This window comes from Homo sapiens, chromosome 19, assembly GCF_000001405.40.
Source record: "Homo sapiens chromosome 19, GRCh38.p14 Primary Assembly".
NCBI classification, from domain to species: Eukaryota; Metazoa; Chordata; class Mammalia; order Primates; family Hominidae; genus Homo; species Homo sapiens.
The window spans coordinates 20,289,057-20,308,793 of NC_000019.10; the positions used below are offsets into that span (position 1 = coordinate 20,289,057).

At 37.9% G+C, this 19,737-nt stretch overlaps 1 pseudogene; it reads left to right on the plus strand.

Moving 5' to 3' along the window:
- On the plus strand, nt 6,037-15,100 carry LOC100129265 (zinc finger protein 66-like; annotated as a pseudogene).

A 19,737-nucleotide genomic window follows, 5' to 3' on the forward strand; every position in this document is an offset into this window, starting at 1 on the left:
ACAGGCATGAGCCACCAGATCTGACCATACCATATTTTCTTTATCCAATCTACTACTCATAGGCATTTAGGGCCTGTCCTTATCTTTGCTATTGTGAATAGTGCTGCAGTGAACATGCATGTGGATGTGTCTTTATAATATAATAATTTATATTTCTTTGGTTATATACCCAATTATAAGATTCCTGGGTCAAATGATAATTCTGTTTTTAGTTCTGTGAGGAATCACCACACTGCTTTTTACAGTTGTTGAACTAATTTACACTCCCTCCAGCAGAGTATAAGCATTCCCTTTTCTCTGCAACCTTGCCAGCATCTGTTATTTATTGACTTTTTAAAAATAGCCATTCTGACTGGTGTGAGGTGGTGTCTCATTGTGGTTTTTTTAAAAAAAATTTTCTCTAATGATTAGCAATGAGCATTTTTTTCCATATGCTTGTTAGCCACATATGTATCTTCTTTTGAAAAGCATCTGTTCATGTATTTTGCCTACTTTTTAATGAGGTTGTTTAGGTTTTTCTTTTAAACTTATTTAAGTTTCTAATAAATTCTGGAGATTAGACCTTTGTCAGAGGCAAAACTTGCAAATATTTTCTTTTATTCTGTAGGTTGTCTTTTTCCTCTGTTGATGGTTTCCTTTGCTGTGAAGAAGGGTTTTAGTTTAAATAGGTCCCATTTGTCAATTTTTGCTTTTGTTGCAATTGCTTTTAGTAGCTTCATCATGAAGTCTTTGCCGGTTTCTGTGTCTAGAATAGTGTTTCTTAGGTTATCATGCAGGGTTTCTTATAATTTTAAGTTTACATTTAAGTGTTTAATTTATCTTGAGTTGATTTTTGTATATGGTGTAATGAAGGAATCTAGTTTCAGTCTTCTACATAGTGCTAGGTAGTTATTCCAGCACCATTTATTAAATAGAGAATTCTTGCTACATTCCTCTTGTCAGCTTTGTCAAAAATCTGATGGTTGTAGGAAGGTGGCATTATTTCTGTGCTCTCTATTCTGTTGCATTGGTCTTGTGCACTCATGGATTTTTTTATAACATCTTTGTCTCTTCTTTTTTTTTTTTTTTTGAGACAGAGTTTCGCTCTGTCGCTTAGGCAGAGTGCAGTGGCGCGATCTCGGCTCACTGCAAGCTCCGCTTCCCGGGTTCACGCCATTCTCCTGCCTCAGCCTCCCGAGTAGCTGGGACTACAGGCCACAGCGCCCGGCTAATTTTTTGTATTTTTAGTAGAGGCGGGGTTTCACCGTGTCAGCCAAGATAGTCTCGATCTCCTGACCTCTTGATCCACCCACCTCGGCCTCCCAAAGTGCTGGGATTACAGGCGTGATCCACCGCGCCCGGCCTCTTCTCCTTTTTCTCCATAACCATTCTTTGAAGTGCATACAGTGTTCAAAATTCAGATGCCCAAGAGTTCAAAAACTCTTTAAAAAGTTTGAAAACAAATTTTGCTATTCTCTCTGCTTTTAAGGGATTCAGATTATATGCAGATATTTTTCTCTGCTTTTTTGAAATATATGCAAGCGATATTAACAGCTAAATAAATCTTTTGTTATTTTTTATGACTCCAGATTTTCTTTTTCTGGTACTTCAGATTTATTGCTTTGTTTTAGCTTCTGAAAAGTTTATTTTTTTCATTTTTAGTCCTTTAAAGTAGACACAGATTTGTTTAGATAAAAGCTAATTTAAGAGCACACAGAAGCTTAGCACAAAGATAAAATTAAATTTAGCAATACAGAATGATAAACACTAAAAGATACTAAATTTTTTTGACAGAAACCTGATTATCCAAGGAAATTATCCAATATTTGCAGACTGAAGTACTTATACTGGAAAAACAAGAACAGTTCAGTGCATAAACTGAACAGTGGAGTCTGTAGTTGTACCTTGCTTTCAATTTATTACTTCAGAACAATTAGCATCATTATGTGTAGTGTTTGTAGACAACCTGCATTCATATAAATAAAACAGTATTTTCTTTTTTTCAGACAGAGTCTCACTCTGTTGCCCAGGCTGGAGTGTAGTGGCATAATATAAAGCCCTACCATCTTGGTCAGGCTGGTCTCAAACTCCTGATGTCATGATCTACCAACGTTATTCTTCCAAAGTGCTAGGATTACAAGTGTGAGCCACCACATCTGGCCATATAATTTCTACTTCTTTTACTTTACTAAGTGTACATATTTATTTTCTAATAAAATTACCTAAGAAAGGCTGGGCATTGTTGCTCATGTCTGTAATCCTCGCACTTTGTGGGACTGAGGCAGGTGGATCACAAGGTCAAGAGTTCGAGACCAGCCTGGCCAATATAGTGAAATGCTGTCTCTACTAATAATACAAAAATTTGCCGTGTGTGTTGGTGCACACCTGTAGTTCCAGCTACTTGGGAGGCTGAGGCAGAAGAATCACTTGAACCCTGGAGGCAGAGGTTGTAGTGAGCCGAGATGGCACCACTGCACTCCAGCCTGTGCAACAGAGTGAGACTCCATCTCAAAATAAAATAAAAAGCCATAAAAAACCCTAGCAAAGCTTAAAGGATTTGTTTAAACTGTGTATTAGTATGTAGTATAAATTTGACAGGGCAGTGGCTAGAAAATATTAAAATTACAGAAACTCTGGGATTTAAGTTTTTTTTTTTTTTTTTGGTAAGCTTAGAAAAAACAAAACTACTAGTACTGCAGTGGCATAGACACCAGAATTCTATGTAGGGTTGCCACCTTGCCGCAGATCTGTTCAGATTCACCCTTTTTGGAGGACTTATTTAGTTCTGATCCTACCTTGGAGTCCTGCCTCAGATAACTGATTAGAAGAGATCAGAGTTTTGGCTGGTGAATCCTGTTGCCTTTCTAGAGCTGGTGCTTACAATTTCCTGAAAGCCAAAAGCTGATAAATGGGATAAATAAGGTATATATTTTAGGGTGCTACTATTTAAATGTTCTATTAAAACCAGTGCTTGCAGAGACATTGTATTTAGAAACTTGTTTTCTATTTCTGCAGATACAGTACTTGCTCCATAAGTCACAAAAAAGTAAATATAAACAGAATAAAATCGTGTCTAAACTACATTAACCTCTTTTTATATCTGTTTCATCTGCCTATATTTAGCTTTTATTCTTTATAATTTTTTAAAAAATTTGATGACAGAGAAACACAAGAAGAAATAAAAATGCTGGGCCCTTTATCTAAATCCTGGAAATTATTAAACCCTTAGTACCAGCTCCCATGGTGTTATGAGAATTAAATCACATAATGTGTTATGCCCAGCACAGTGCTCTGTATCACACTCTTGAGCACATAGTACCTGCTTAATAAACATTGCATTAGTACATGTGTACATGTTGTTTTTTAAATCCAGACTTATTCAGACATTGCTGCATTCTGTTTCCTCTGTAAACTTTAAAGAGCCAGCAAAGAATATAAAACTTTAACATGGAGATGGATTGTTCTTGTTTGTACCAGAAGTATTTGGTTGCAACAAGAGTGCTGAGTGTAAGGGACCCTGTGCTGTGCCTGCTTCTGTAACTAATGGTAATAATGAACCAATGGGGAGCAACACCAGCATTTATAGGGGATTGTTTAAAACACCCATTCATGGACGCTTTTCAAACCTGCAGAATCACATTACATAAAGTGGGGCCAAAATTACCAAGTGATTTATAGGCTCTTTAAAGCTTGAGAGGCAATAATTAGCTTAGGGATTATCAGCCCAGGCTTCTCATTAGGATCAAATGGCCAATTTGCAGAAATCTCTTGTGCCCTCCCCACAGCTTCTGTTTATTGTTCTGGGTGGAAGCATCCATGTTGTTTTAATGAAGGGCCTCATGTGAATCTGAGGTGAGACCAGAATCTGGTATGAGGATTTCAAAATACATTCATGAGAGTTAAGTTCCACCTTTGGACTAAAGGGTGGTCACAGGGCCTGTTCTCTTTGGGTTTAGTAGGGACAGGTCAGTGTGGTGCATATTTCCATTACTGTAGCAGAAATTGCTGGTGTCTGTGGCAGGGGAGGGCACCTCAGGACAGGAAAGGAGAAACTTATATTTTCATCTTCATGGAGCAGCTCATTGTTTCTGAATCTCTTCTGTTTTAAAGGACAGAAATGGGTGGATTTTTCTGTCTTTTTCTGCTGGTTGATGTTACGCTAGCTGGTAAACATGTGGCACTGACACCTTTAAAGGCATATTCTCAAGATGCAGGGGTAATTTTTTTAGAGAATCTCATCTGAGAAGGAATTCCAGAGAAGTAGGAGATAGAAAAAACAAAAAAGGCTTTTCTTCAGGTAAACATGCCTCAGCTGAAATGCTGTGTCCACTCTGCCTCCTGGAATGCCATGCATTTAGTACTTGCAAACTTTTATTTCTCTACTTGTGTTTTTCCTTCCTAAGTAGTTTGGTTTAAGTACTTCTTAAAATTCTTATGATAGTCAAGGGTCTCTGAAAAATGTTTCTTTCCTGTATCCCAGAGCCTTCTCTTCTTTCTCTACACAATAACTTCTTATATGCCATGCAGATTTTTCAACAAGTATTCATGATTTGCAATATTAAAAATGTTCCCTTTCTGGCTGTTGAACATGGAAAGATGTGGATACTCAAGATTTCTATTGGGGAAAACTGTGGTCCTTAGTAAAGATGGAGAACATGTAAAGTTGAGGCTCTATTCCTGTGTTCCATTAGCTGTATGCAGAACAGGATTAAGAAATTGCTTATATATGTCAGGTGTGGTGGCTCATGCCTGTAATCCCAGCACTTTGGGAAGTCGAGGTGGGAAGGCCACCTGAGATCAGGAGTTTGAGACCAGTCTGGCCACCATGGTGGAACCCTGTCTCTACTAAAAATACAAAAATTAGCCAGGCTTGTTGGCAGGTGCCTGTAATCCCAGCTACTCATGAGGCTGAGGCAGGAGAACCACCTGAACCCAGGAGGTGGAAGTTGCAGTCAGCCAAGATTGCACCATTGCACTCCAGCCTGGGGGACAAGAGTGAGACTTCATCTCAAAAAAAAAAAAAAAAAAAATTGCTCATTTAAATGTGATGGCATTTATTACTCAGAAATTTCTGAAAAAAATTATTAGGAGATACCTGCTCTCTAGGGTGCTAAATGAAGCCGACTTAAAATTACTACTAAAAATTACAGAGCATAGGATTTATCTGTATTTTGTGGTTTCCATAAAACAAATGATTCTTTATGATTAAATTCAGATTTTACTTACTTTTTTAAAAGAGGAATATTTCAACAGTGATGCTGTGTTCTGTGTGCATTAGCACATCATAAAAATTAGTCCTAATGCAGTTAATGATTCACTTGCTTAAATAGCCCTCTGGCAGATTTTTTCACTATGTAGCTAGTTATTTTTCTCTTCATTATTAAGTATGTTTATGCAGCTGATGTGCATAAACCATCACATTTAATCTGGCAGCTGTCCTTTTTTCTTATTTTTATCTATATATTTTTCTTTGGAAAATGAAGGTTCTTATCTTTGTTTACAGGTCAGAAAAACTGGGAAAAACACAGGCTCTTCCACTTACTGGCTGTTTGACAAAATATCCTCCTTCTTTGGCCAAAAACATTGACATTATTGATGAGCTTGTTAGAAATTCAAAAAATCAGACTTTATTCCAGATCTTCTGGAAAAAAAAACCCTGTATAACAAGGTATTCAGCTTATTGCACATATTAAAATTTGAGAAGTGTCTTCTAACTCAACATGTCATTTTCATCTGAAAAATATTCACAACTCTTTCCATATGATGTAAATATAGCACTCAAAAATGTACCTGTTCATGTTCATGCCCTTAAATTTATACTTTATTATCTAGAAAAATATATGAACTGATGTTGTGGATCTTATGCTTCTCTTTTTTCTCAGAGTTAGAGAATATTTTGGAGAGTATTTCTGTGTTGAAAATTATTTTATTGGATAATTTTCATCAGTACTATAAGTCAGAACCAGGTGTCTTTACTCTCTCATTTCACCTTAAGTCAAATTAAAAATTTCATTCATGGTCACTTGGTGAAAATGTGTGTGTGTATTTTTCAGAGGACATTACAATTCAGAGATGTGGCCATAGAATTCTCTCTGGAGGAGTGGCATTGCCTGGACACAGCACAGCGGAATTTATATAGGGATGTGATGTTAGAGAACTACAGAAACTTGGTCTTCCTTGGTGAGGACAACTTGAATATATAATTCATAATATACACAAAAGGTTTATTTCTCTTTTTTGTAGAATGTGTTTTAGTAATTTGTTCTTTTTATAAATGAGTTTCAGATCCAGTTTTTCAAGAAAATCTTCAGAATTTGTGCATTTAGAAAAGAATTACTTCCGTGCCTCATGCCTGTAATCCCAGCACTTTGGGAGGCTGAGGCGGGGGATTACCTGAGGCCAGGAGCTTGAGACCAGCCTGGCCAACTAACGAAAGTACAAAAAATTAGCTGGGGGCTGTGGCACACACCTGTAACCCCAGCTACTTAGGAGGGTGAGGCAGGAGAATCGCTTGAACCCAAGAGGCAGAGGTTGCAGTGAGTTGAGATCATGCCATTACACTCCAGCCTGGGTGACAGAGCAAGTTTCCATCTCAAGGAAAAAAAAAAAAGAAAAAAATTTCTTCAACATGTTTCATCTAAATATAAACTTTCCACATTTCTGAGTTGAGTTGTATTTTTCACTCTAAATTAGTGGTAATTCCAGAAATTTATTGACATAAAATATTGCAACCTCCCTCTCCCCTCTCCCCTCTGCCTCTCTTTCCACGGTCTCCCTCTGATGCCGAGCCGAAGCTGGACTGTACTGCTGCCATATCGGCTCACTGCAACCTCCCTGCCTGATTCTCCTGCCTCAGCCTGCCTAGTGCCTGCGAGCGCCGCCACGCCTGACTGGTTTTCGTACTTTTTTGGTGGAGACGGGGTTTCACTGTGTTGGCCGGGCTCGTCTCCAGCTTCTAACCGCGAGTGATCCACCAGCCTCGGCCTCCCGAGGTGCCAGGATTGCAGGCGGAGTCTCGTTCACTCAGTGCTCAATGGTGCCCAGGCTGGGGTGCAGTGGCGTGATCTCAGCTGGCTACAACCTCCACCTCCCAGCCGCCTGCCTTGGCCTCCCAAAGTACCGAGATTGCAGCCTCTGCCCGGCCGCCACCCAGTCTGGGAAGTGAGGAGCGTCTCTGCCTGGCCACCCATCATCTGGGATGTGAGGAGCCCCTCTGCCTGGCTGCCCAGTCGGAAAGTGAGGAGCGTCTCTGCCCAGCCGCCATCCTGTCTAGGAAGTGAGGAGCGTCTCTGCCTGGCTGCCCATCGTCTGGGATGAAGTGAGGAGCATCTCTGCCCGGCTGCCCATCGTCTGAGATGTGGGGAGTGCCTCTGCCCCGCCGCCCCGTCTGGGATGTGAGGAGCGCCTCTGCCCCGCCGCCCCGTCTGGGATGTGAGGAGTGCCTCTGCCCGGCCGCGACCCCGTCTGGGAGGTGAGGAGCATCTCTGCCCGGCCGCCCCATCTGAGAAGTGAGGAGACCCTCCGCCCGGCAGGGGCCCCGTCCGGGAGGGAGGTGGGGGGGGTCAGCCCCCCGCCCGGCCAGCCGCCCCGTCCTGGAGGTGAGGGGCGCCTCTGCCCGGCGGTCCCTACTGGGAAGTGAGGAGCCCCTCTGCCCGGCCACCACCCCGTCTGGGAAGTGTACCCACCAGCTCATTGAGAACGGGCCATGATGACAATGGCAGTTTTGTGGAATAGAAAAGGGGGAAAGGTGGGGAAAAGATTGAGAAATCGGATGGTTGCTGTGTCTGTGTAGAAAGAGGTAGACATGGGACACTTTTCATTTTGTTCTGTACTAAGAAAAATTCTTCTGCCTTGGGATCCTGTTGACCTATGACCTTACCCCCACCCCTGTGCTCTCTGAAACAGGTGCTGTGTCCACTCAGGGTTAAATGGATTAAGGGCGGTGCAAGATGTGCTTTGTTAAACAGATGCTTGAAGGCAGCATGCTCGTTAAGAGTCATCACCACTCCCTAATCTCAAGTACCCAGGGACACAAACACTGCGGAAGGCCGCAGGGTCCTCTGCCTAGGAAAACCAGAGACCTTTGTTCACTTGTTTATCTGCTGACCTTCCCTCCACTATTGTCCTATGACCCTGCCAAATCCCCCTCTGCGAGAAACACCCAAGAATGATCAATACAAAAAAAAATAAATAAAAAATAAAAATAAATAAAAGATTAAAACACACACACACACAAAAATATTGCAGCTTCCACCTGAAAATCTAATTGCCACCACCAATTTTTGATTCAGTAGTACCAGGCAGTAAAATTAAGAAACCTACAAATTGAAAGTATTTTCTTTTTTTTTTTTTTGAGATGGAGTCTTGCTCTGTTGCCCAGGCTGGAGTGCAGTGGTGCAATCTTGGGTTACTGCAACATCCACTTCCCAGGTTCAAGCAATTCTCCTGCCTCAGCCTCCCGAGTATCTGGGACTACAGATGCACATCACCATGCTGGGCTAATTTTTGTATTTTTAGTAGAGATGGGGTTTCTCCATGCTGGCCAGGCTGGTCTCAAACTCCTGACCTTGTGATCTACCTGTCTTGGCCTCCCAGAATGCTGGGATTACAGGCATGAGCCACTGCACCAGGCAAATTGAAAATATTTTCTAAATATTTAGAAATTGCTGTTATAAATTTGTATTTTGGTATTAATTTACCAGAATATTTTGTCACATCGTCTTTGCTGAGCACATTACTAGCTTGTAATTGGAGAATATGAGCAAGATTCATGTTATTTATTTTTGATAAAACAGGTATTGTTGTCTTAAAGCCAGACCTCATCACCCATCTGGAGCAAGGAAAAAAACCTTTGACTATGAAGAGACATGAGATGGTAGCCAACCCCTCAGGTAGGTGTGAGTGAAAATGAATACAACAGATGACACAGGTAAGAGGTCCCAAGGTGAAAGAGAAAGCCAGTCCTTAAAGTGTGATTCAGGAAGCTGTGTTCCAAAGAAATACTTCCTGGGCAGCTGTTTTATTTATTTATTTATTTATTTTTTAAATTTTGCTCTCACAAAGGGGCATCTTCTGTCTTATGCTTTTAAATTCTCTAAAAATTCTACTTTTCTTTCAGTGAGCTTCCTTCAAGTTCACAGTGAGAGCCAAAGTCCTCTTCATGGCATATAAGAGACTGCACAATCTGGCTGCTTTTTCATTGTTTTGGGGACACACAAATATCTGCATGATTTTGAGAAACTAAAACTATTTTTTAGTTCTCTTTTTGCATCAGGTCTGAAATATGTGAGAGTAGTAGTTTCTGTTGCATTTTTTTGTTCATTTTTGTTCACAGTCCATTCTATTTTTATTATGACACAGTCTTGAAATATAGTTTGAAATTTTAAGTATGATATCCTTCTGCTTTGTTCTTTTTCCTCAAGATTGCTTTGGCTATTCAAAGTTTGTTTTAGTTTCATGTAAATTTTAGAATTGTCTTTTCCATTACTGTAAAAAAAACCACTGCAATTTTGATGGGAAGTTTATTGAATCTATAGATCACTTTGGATAATATGAAACTTTAATGATATTCTTTCAATCCGTAGACATAAATATTTTAAAATTAATTTTGATCTTCTAATTTTTTTATTTTTTTACTGTAAACATTTTTTACCTCCTTGGTTAATGTTTTTCTCAGAAATTTGTTATTTAATGCTACATTAAATAAGATTTTTTCTTCCTTATCAGATAGTTTGTTTTAAGTATATGAAACCATACATATACTTGTGTGTTAATTTTATATTTTGCTAATTTACTGAGTTTATTTATTAGTTTAGACAGGTTTTAATGTACTGTTTATGGTTTTTTAAATATAGGATTCTATGATCTACAAACAGCAACTGTTGACCTATGTTTCTTCATCTGAAGAAATCCATAATTTTAGATTCAGATATTTAGGACAATATGCTAGAATGTTCATGGTATGCCTGAAGTAAATTAGATAATTTGTAGGGACCCATATTTACTAAACTAGTTACTTATGCATTTAAGTTTGCTGCAGGCAAAAAGGAATTATAGGATTTTTATTTATTTATTTATTTATTTATTTGTTTGTTTATTTTCTTTTGAGTGGGGCTTTCACTCTTTTTGCCCAGGCTAAAGGGCAATGGCGTGATTTTGGTTCACTGCAACCTTCACCTCTTGGGTTCAAGCGGCTCTCCTGCCTCAGCCTCCCGAGTAGCTGGGATTAGAGGTGCTCACCAAAACACCCAGCTAATTTTTTGTATTTTTTTGGTAGAGATGGGGTTTCAACATGTTGGCAAGGCTTGTCTCAAACTCCTGACCTCAGATGATCTGCCCACCTCTGCCTCCCAAAGTGTTGGGATTACAGCCATGAGCCAATGTGCCCGGCTGGATTTTTTCATTTCTGTGAATACTGGTACAATACGCATGGATTTTCAGTTATGTCTTCCAGGTCCTGTGTTGCATATTTTGTTTTTTTGTTATTGTTGTTTTCTTTTCTTTTCTTTTCTTTTTGAGCTGGAGTCTCACTCTGTTGTCCAGGCTAAAGTGCAGTGGTGTGATCTTGGCTCACTGCAACCTCTGCCTTCTGGGCTAAAGTGATTCTCTTACCTCAGCCTTCCAAGCAGCTGGGATTACAGGTGCATGTCACATCACCAAGCTAATTTTTATATTTTTAGTGAAATGGTATTTCACCATTTTGGCCAGGCTGGTCTCAAACCTCTGACCTCAAGTTATCTGCCCATATCAGGCTCCCAAAGTGCTAGAATTACAGGCTTAAGCCACTGCACCTGGCCTGTGTTACATAGTTTAGATATAGATTTATAAATGAGGAACATTTATAACATTTTAAAATAATGGCTGCGTCTTTGTTTTCCACCAGCAATCAACATTGGTTTTATTTTTATTGCACCTAATGGGTGTGAGGTGATTTTGTTGGCATTGTGCTTTTTTTTGATTTCTCTACAAATTAGTAATTTTGTATGTTCTTTCAAATGTTTTTTTCCCTTTTGTGCATTTTATGTCTTGTATTTAGTTTAAAATATATTATTGTATCATTCAAGGAAATAATCCAACTTTATTTTATCAGTGTTGACATTCAGTTTTCAACATCATTTTTTGAAGAGATTATTTCTATTTCATATGCATGGCAACTTTCTGGAAGATTATGTGATCATATACAGAAGGGTTTATTTCTGGGCTCTCTATTCTGTTCTTTCATCTGTTTGTCTTTGTGTCAGTATCACTTTTTTATGTTACTGTAGGTTTTAACTGTAGGTTGTATTGACATCTTTGAAAAATAAAATATTTTGCCCCTGAGCAAGAATATGTTGAAGAGTGTGTTTCATATTCACATATTTGTGAATTTGCCAGTTTGACTTTTGCTTTTAATTCTTAATTTCATTCAGTTTTTGTTAGAAAACACACAGTGTATAATTTTAGTGTTTCTAAAGTGATTGGTTGTTGTTTTGAGACAAGATCTTACTGTCACAGTGGCATAATTGTGGCTCACTGTAGCCTCAGACTCCTGGGCTCAAGTGATTCTTTCTTTTTTTTAAATTTTTTAAATTTTTTTATTACACTTTAAGTTTTAGGGTACATGTGCACAATGTGCAGGTTAGTTATATATGTATACATGTGCCATGCTGGTGTGCTGCACCCATTAACTCATCATTTAGCATTAGGTATATCTCCTAATACTAAAGTGATTCTTTCACCTCAGTTTTTTGAGTAGGTAGGACTGTAGACATGCACTACCATGTCTGGCTAATTGTTTACTTGTTTGTAGTGTTAGGATCTCACTATGATGCCCAGGCTGTTCTCAAACTTTTGGCCTCAATGGATCTCCAAAGTGTTAGGATTATAGGCAAGAGCCATGGCACCCAGTAGATATTTTTAAATTTAATAAAACTTGGTATATGTCCTAACAGAATACACCAGAAGCAAATAAGAATATTGTATATTATCTTGGTTTTGACTGGAGAGTTTTGTATGTGTCTTTGAACCCTAGTTGGTCTATAATATGGTTTGGATGTCCATGTTGTCCAAACCTCATGCTGGGATATAAATCTTCAATGTTGGATGTGGGACCTGGTGGGACTTGTTTGGGTCATGAGGGTGAATTTCTCACGAATGGCTTGGTACATACTCTTCATAACCAAAAAGTTTACACTCTATCAATTCAAATAAGAGCTGGTTCATTAAGAGAACTTGGCTCCTTCACCTCACACTTGCTCTGTCTCTTACCATGTAATATACCCAGTTACACTTTACCTTCCACCATGATTTTAAGCTTCCTGAAATCCTCATCAGAAGCAGATGCTGACACACACTTCTTGTACAGTCTGGTGAGCTGTGAGTCAAATAAACATTTTTTCTTTATAAATTATGCACTCTCAACTATTCTTCTATATGTAAAATAATTAATATGGTCTATAATGTTATCTCAGCTTTCTTTTTCTTATTTTTTATCTGAGTTTTCTATTTATTATTGCAAATGGGGTCTTGATGTCTACAATGATTATGTTGCTATGTATGTCTTGCTTCACTTTTGTCAATATTTGCTTTATATATTTTGAAGCCCTGATGTTATATACACATATACATAGAGATAGATAAGTAGTATAGATCCCTGCTAAATCAACTCACTTTTGCCATAATATAATATCAATCTTTTCTCATGGTAGTACTTGACTTAAAGCATATTCTGTCTAATATAATTATGACCACCTCACTCAATTGTGGTTACTATCTTCATGGAATATAACTTTTTTTCATTCTGTTAATTTCAGCCTATTTGACTCAATGTTAAAATGATCTCTCATAGGCAGCATAGTGTATACTTTTTGAAAAACCATTCAGGCATTCTATATCTTTTTCTTTATATAATTTTATTTATATGTTCATTTATTTATTCATTTTATTTAATTTTATTTTTTGAGATAGAGTTTTGTTCTTGTTACCCAGGCTGGAATGCAATGGTGCAATCTCAGCTCACTGCAACCTTTATTTCCCGGGTTCAAGCAATTCTCCTGCCTCAGCCTCCCAAGTAGCTGGGATTACAGGTGCATGCCACCACACCTGGCTAAGTTTTTGTATTTTTAGTAGAGATGTGGTTTACCATGATGGCCAGGATCATCTTGAACTCCTGACCTCAGGTAATCTGCCCACCTCGGCCTCCCAAAGTGTTGGGATTACAGGTGTGAGCCACAGCACCCGGCCTCAGAGGCATGATCTTGGTCACTACAACTCTGCCATTACAGAGTCTCACTCTGTCACCCAGGCTGGAGTGCAGTGGCATGATCTCAGCTCACTGCAACCTCTGCCTCCTGGGTTTAAGCAATTCTCTGTCTCAGCCTCCTGAGTAACTGAGATTACAGGTGCCTGCCACCACACCTGTCTAATTTTTTCTGTTTTTAGTGGAGATGGAGTTTCACCATCTTGGCCAGGCTGCTTTTGAACTTCTGACCTCATGATCAACCCATGTCAGCCTCCCAAAGTGCTGGGATTACTGGCGTGAGCCATTGCGCCCAACCAGCAATTTACTTTTAAAGACACAATATTATACTGGAGAGCAGGAAGAGCTCTGTTGGGTATAAGTAACAGACTTTTCTTTTTCTTCTATGTGGCTCTTTGCATTGTGCTCACCTGGGGCCCTTCATCCATTTAACCCATTTATAAATTTTTTACAAATGTATTTTGGTCAGTATGTTTTTGTTACCTTTATATGTCCAGGAAGAAATTACAGCTTGTGGTATTTTGCTATGTCATCTTGCTTATGTAGTTTGTATAATTTTATAGGTTAGATTTGTAAAGTATATTTATCTGAGTCTAGCAATTGAAGTAATGTGTTTTTATTGTTTCTTTCAGTTTTGTGTTCTCATTTTACCCAAAATCTTTGGCCAGAGCAGAGCATAAAAGATTATTTCCAAAAACTGATACTGAGAAGATATGAAAAATGTGGACATGAGAATTTACAGTTAAAAGAAGGCTGTGAAAGTGTAGATGAGTGTAAGGCGCACAAAAGAGGTTATAATGGACTTAACCAATGTTTGACAACTACCCAGAGCAAAATATTTCAATGTGATAAATATGGGAAAGTCTTTCATCAATTTTCAAATTCAAACAGACATAAGATAAGACATACTGGAAAAAACTTTTCAAATGTATAGAATGTGGCAAAGCTTTCAACCAGTCCTCAAACCTTACTACACATAAGAAAATTCATACTGGAGAGAAACCCTACAAATGTGAAGACTGTGGCAAAGCCTTTAACTTCTCCTCTAACCTTACTACACATAAGAAAATTCATACTGAAGAGAAACCCTACAAATGTGAAGAATGTGGCAAAACCTTCAGTTGGTCCTCTATTCTTATTACACATAAAATGATTCATACTGGAGAGAAACCATACAAGTGTGAACGATGTGGCAAAGCTTTTAACCATTCTGCAACTTTTTTTCGCATAAGAAAATTCATATTGGAGGGAAACCATACAAGTGCGATAAATGTGGCAAGGCCTTTATTTCATCCTCAAACCTTAGTAGACATGAGATAATTCATATGGGAGAGAAACCATACAAATGTGAAAATGTGCAAAGCCTTTAAGCACTCCTCTACACTTACCAGACATAAGATAGTTCATACTGGAGAGAAACCCTATGAGTTTGATGAATGTGGGAAAGCCTTTAACCAGCTATCAACTTTTACTAAATATGAGAATTTATATGGAACATAAACCCTACAAATATAAAGAATGTGACAAAACTTTTAGGAAGTTCTCAACCCTTATTATACAGAATTCATACTGGACAGAAATCCTACAAGTGTGAAGAATGGGGCAAAACCTATAACAGGTTTTCAATTCTTTTTGGTTTTTTTTTTGAGATGAAGTTTCACTCTTGTCACCCAAGCTGGAGTACAATGCCACGATCTTGGCTCACTGCAACCTCCGCCTCCTGGGTTCAAGCCATTCTCCTCCCTCAGCTTCCCTAGTAGCTGAGATTACAGCTGCCTAACACTATGCCCAGCTAATTTATATATTTTTAGTAGAGACACGATTTTGCCATGTTTGCCAGGCTGGCCTTGAACTCCTGACCTCTGGTGATCCACCTGCTTTGGCCTCCTATAGTGCTGGGATTATAGGCATGAGCCACGATGCCCAGCCACAAGTTCTCAATTCTTAGGAGACTTGGTGATAATTCATGCTGAAGAGGAACTCTACAAACCTAAGAAATGTGACTGACAGAGTTTTTACCAACACCTCCAACTTCTCTATACATAAAAATAATTATACTAGTGTGAAAACCTAGAGATATATAAAATGTGACAAAGCCTTTATATGGTTGCCACACTCGATTGTAGTTAAGATAATTCATATTGGCAAAACTCCTACAAGTGTGAAAAATGTGGCAAAACTTTTCATCCGTTCTTATACTTTATTTCACAGGAAAGCTAGTATCCTTGAGAAAAATTGTACAACTATAAGGAATATGGAAAACCCATTAATTCCTACTCACATCTTACTCAACATAAAAAGGTTCCTTTTAATAAAAGCATTAAAAGTGCAATTACAGTCAAGAAATCTTTCAGAAAGTATAAGCATTTAATGTGAAGAAGAGTATTGTGAAGACAACTATTACAAATATAAAGGGGGTTATAGTACATTTACTTGTATCACTGATCCTATTGCACACACTTTGCACTAGAGGAAAACCTTGAAGCAGTTGCTCAAGCTTTGTTCAACAACAGGGAATTTATATTGGAGATGAGTCCTGCAAATGTAATAAGCTTAGAAACACTTATTTTTTTTTTCAGAAACTACAGCTTAGAAAACACCAGAGAGTTTATACCAAAATATAATTTTGCAAATGTGGTAAATATAAAAAACTAATTCAAAATAGAATGTATTTAAATATCAGAGAATTTACAGTAGAATAACTAAGGCACTGACACTTCAGACATTACACTAAATCAGAGTGTTGAGTATAAAAACTAATCCACAACTACAGTTTTTAGATAAATGATTTGCATGTAACTGTAAAAGGAGTAGATTTTTGGAAGCATTGTAATTACATTGAAAGTATACTTGTTTCCTTGAATAAAATTTTTTGAAAACTGCATAATGATGTCATACAGCTTTTAAATTACTTTACGCTGTTATTTTACTCTTATTCACATGTGAAAGGACGTGATAAATTGCTTCTGCATCAGAGATATTAGAGATTTTTGAAAATTATTTGGACATTATGACTTTTTCTATAAAAGAGTAAGGACATTAAAATGTAAGATGCATAATGAAAATATAAGCGGAGAGGCTTTTTGTAGTAAACCTCTATTAAGTAATGTATAAGGTAAATGTTCAGAGCAATACTTTTCTACATTATAGTGACATAAATAATTATAGTTAAAAGTATATTAAAATAAATTAGTATATTATTTTACTAATTGTAGTTTTATGTAATAAAATGCAGTACATCTAACAATTGTTAGGGCTGGGCTCAATGGCTCAAACCTGTAATCCCACCAATTTGGGGGGCCAAGGTGGGCAGATCACCTGAGGTCGGGTGTTCGAGACCAGCCTGACCAACGTGGAGAAATCCCGTCTCTAGTAAAAATACAAAAAAATTAGCCAGCCATGGTGGTGCATGTCTGTAATCCCAGCTACTCAAGAGGTTGAGGCAGGAGAATCGCTTGAACCAGGGAGGCAGAGGTTGTGGTGAGCCGAGATCATGCCATTGCACACCAGCCTGGGCAACAAGAACAAAACTCTGTCTCAAAAAAAAAAAAATAGTTAGATTATGTGTGAACTCAATTTTATTATTATTTTTTACCATGTTAATACTATTGTGCATTTAATGAAGCATTATTATGCCACTAACTTTAACCTATCCCACCTTACTCAAGGGTGTAGCTACAAGATGGTAGCAACATACTATTTGGTACATAGTGGAATAACATCTCTAGTTATCACTTTGCCAGTGGCATTAAACTGCAAAAGAGTTAAAGAATATTGTTCCCATAGATTAAATTTTTACTCTTTTTTCTTATCAAAATTTGTTATTGTATTTGTGGGTATATAGTATGTGTATGTATTTATGCCTTATATGGCATATTTTGATTGAGGCCTACAATATGTAGTAATTACATTAGGGTAAATAAGGTATCCATCACCTCTAGCGTTTATCCTTTGTATTACCAACAGTATAATTATATGCTTTCATTATTTTAAAATGTACAATTAAATTGTTATTGACTACAGGATTTTTTTATGGTCATAATAATTATACAAAAATATAAATAAAATACAGCCAGGTGCAGTGGCTCATGCCTGTAATTCCAACACTTTGGGAGACCGAGGCAGGTGGAGTACTTGAGGTTAGGAGTTCAAGACCAGGCTGGCCAACATGGCAAAACCCCACCTCTACTAAAAATAAAAAATTAGCCGGGCATGGTGGCACATGCCTGGAGGCTGAGGCAGGAGAATCGTTTGAACGCGGGAGATGGAGGTTGCAGTGAGCCGAGATCACGCCACTGCACTCCAGCATGGGTGACAGAGTGAGACTCCATCTCAAAAAAAAAAAAAAAGAAGAAATACAAATAAAGTCCATACATTTCTGAGTCCTGAAAAATAATTAATAAATATTTGTCATATAGTTTTCTTTGAACATGTGGTCTCTCTGCCTGCAAGCATATAGACTTTTAGTTTTAATTTACATAGAGTTAAATATACTCATATTACTCTGAAGATAAACCTTAGGTGTAAGAAAAATATAAAGTGAGTGTTTTTGTCTGAGTATGAGTTTGTACACATTTTCAGAAGCAAAGAGCAATTATTGCAACAAAGGAAATTATTTTAATTAGGTGACTAACTAAACACCTTGAAAATGCTGAAAGCAAATCTATACTTTCTGCTTTGTATTCAGTTTATTAATGTAAACTGTTAAGGCTTATGATTCAGATTCTCCCCGGAATCTGCCTATTAAAGCACAGACAACTTTGTCTCCAGAAACAACACTCTTGAGTACAACAATAAAACCCCTCTTCAAACAGAAAAAAAAATAATTTTTAACAATTACCTTTATAAACATTCAACAAAATTAAATAATTGGATATATTTTTATTGTTCTGTGTGTGTGTGAATGTATAAAATGGTGCATACAGGAAAAATAAGCCAGAAGAAAGATGTTAGTTAATATTCACAGTGAATAAAACTGGAAAGTAGTTAATTATTAAATCCAGATGATAGCTTTGTTTATGTAGATAACAAAAGCAGCAGAAAGACTTTTTTTTTTCCCAGATGAAGTCTTGCTCAGTCGCCCAGGCTGGAGTGCAGTGGCATGATCTCGGCTCACTGCAACCTCCACCTCTTGGGTTCAAGCAATTCTCATGCCTCAGCCTTTTCAGTAGCTGGGATTACAGTCCGTGCCATCATTCCTGACTAATTTTTGTAGTTTCAGTAGAGACAGGGTTTCATCATGTTGGCCAGGCTGGTCTCAAACTCCTGACCTCTTGATATGCCCACATCAGCCTCCCACAGTGCTGGTATTACAGGCATGAACCACCGTGACCGGCAAAATACTATTTTAAAAGTTTATTTAGGTGGATAGACAACATTCTAAGATAATACCCTGGATTCTCAGTCTGTTGCACACCTGCTGTGTAATACTCTCCTCTTGAGTTTAAAAACATGTGTGACTGTGGTGGGAAATCATTCATGATATTAGGTTACTCATGTGTTAACTTTGTGTTTATCAAAATGGAGATTATCCTTATTGTGCTAAACTTAATCAGAGGTGCTTTTAAGAGAAAGAGACACATCACAGAAAAACACCCCTGCTGGCCTGAAAGTCAGTGACTTCTTCGTGGAACATGTAAGCTGCTTATGGTGGCCATATGGCGGGAAACATGTTTGTTTATTGTCATCATTCCTGCCTCCTGTATGTTGATTCCAGTAAGGAGAATAAGAGGATCGTATGGCAGAGGGGAAAAAAAGGACTCTCATTCATGCAAGAAATAAACACCTCTCACCTGGGATAGCTTAAGAGAAACAGGAGACCACAACAGGTCCACATTAATGGGAGGAAAAGGGTAACCTGGGTAAAAGTGCTCACTGGCATTATGGAACAGTATTTAGTAAGCTGTAGTGAATGATCAGCCTCTGGGATACCAATAGTCTACCAACAAGGCTGAACTCATTCTATTTCAATCAGCATGTCTGCACCATTCTGGCGACCCAGGTTTACACTATTCATTGAAGAAATACCATGAAGACCAGTGGGTAATGTCCTAGAATTGAACTTACTTCAAAAAGCATACCTAATTGTTTGTTTTTACATTTGAAAAACTTTTAAAACAATGAACTTATAATTAACTTCTAATTACAGAAGATTCTACTGTACTGTTACATGATTAAATTGTAAACACCTTAATATGAAGATTTTTTGAATGCATGATTAGTTATGTAGATAGTTTCTTTTAGAGTCACATGACCAAAGTAACAATTAGAGAAAACATTTGAAATGAGACAAAATTAACCAAAACCACATCTTTTCAAAGGCTTGGCATAATTGCCATATTTATGGAAATGGCCAGATGACTAACAAGAAACAAAAAGATTTTGGCTTTGCTCAATGATTGTTTTTGACCTTTTGAAATCTAAAATCCTGGCTAAAGTATTCAAAGGGAATATTTTGTAGGTGGCTTCCCAGGGTTTCCAAGTAAATGAAGGAGGGATTCTCTCTCTGTCACCCAGGCTGC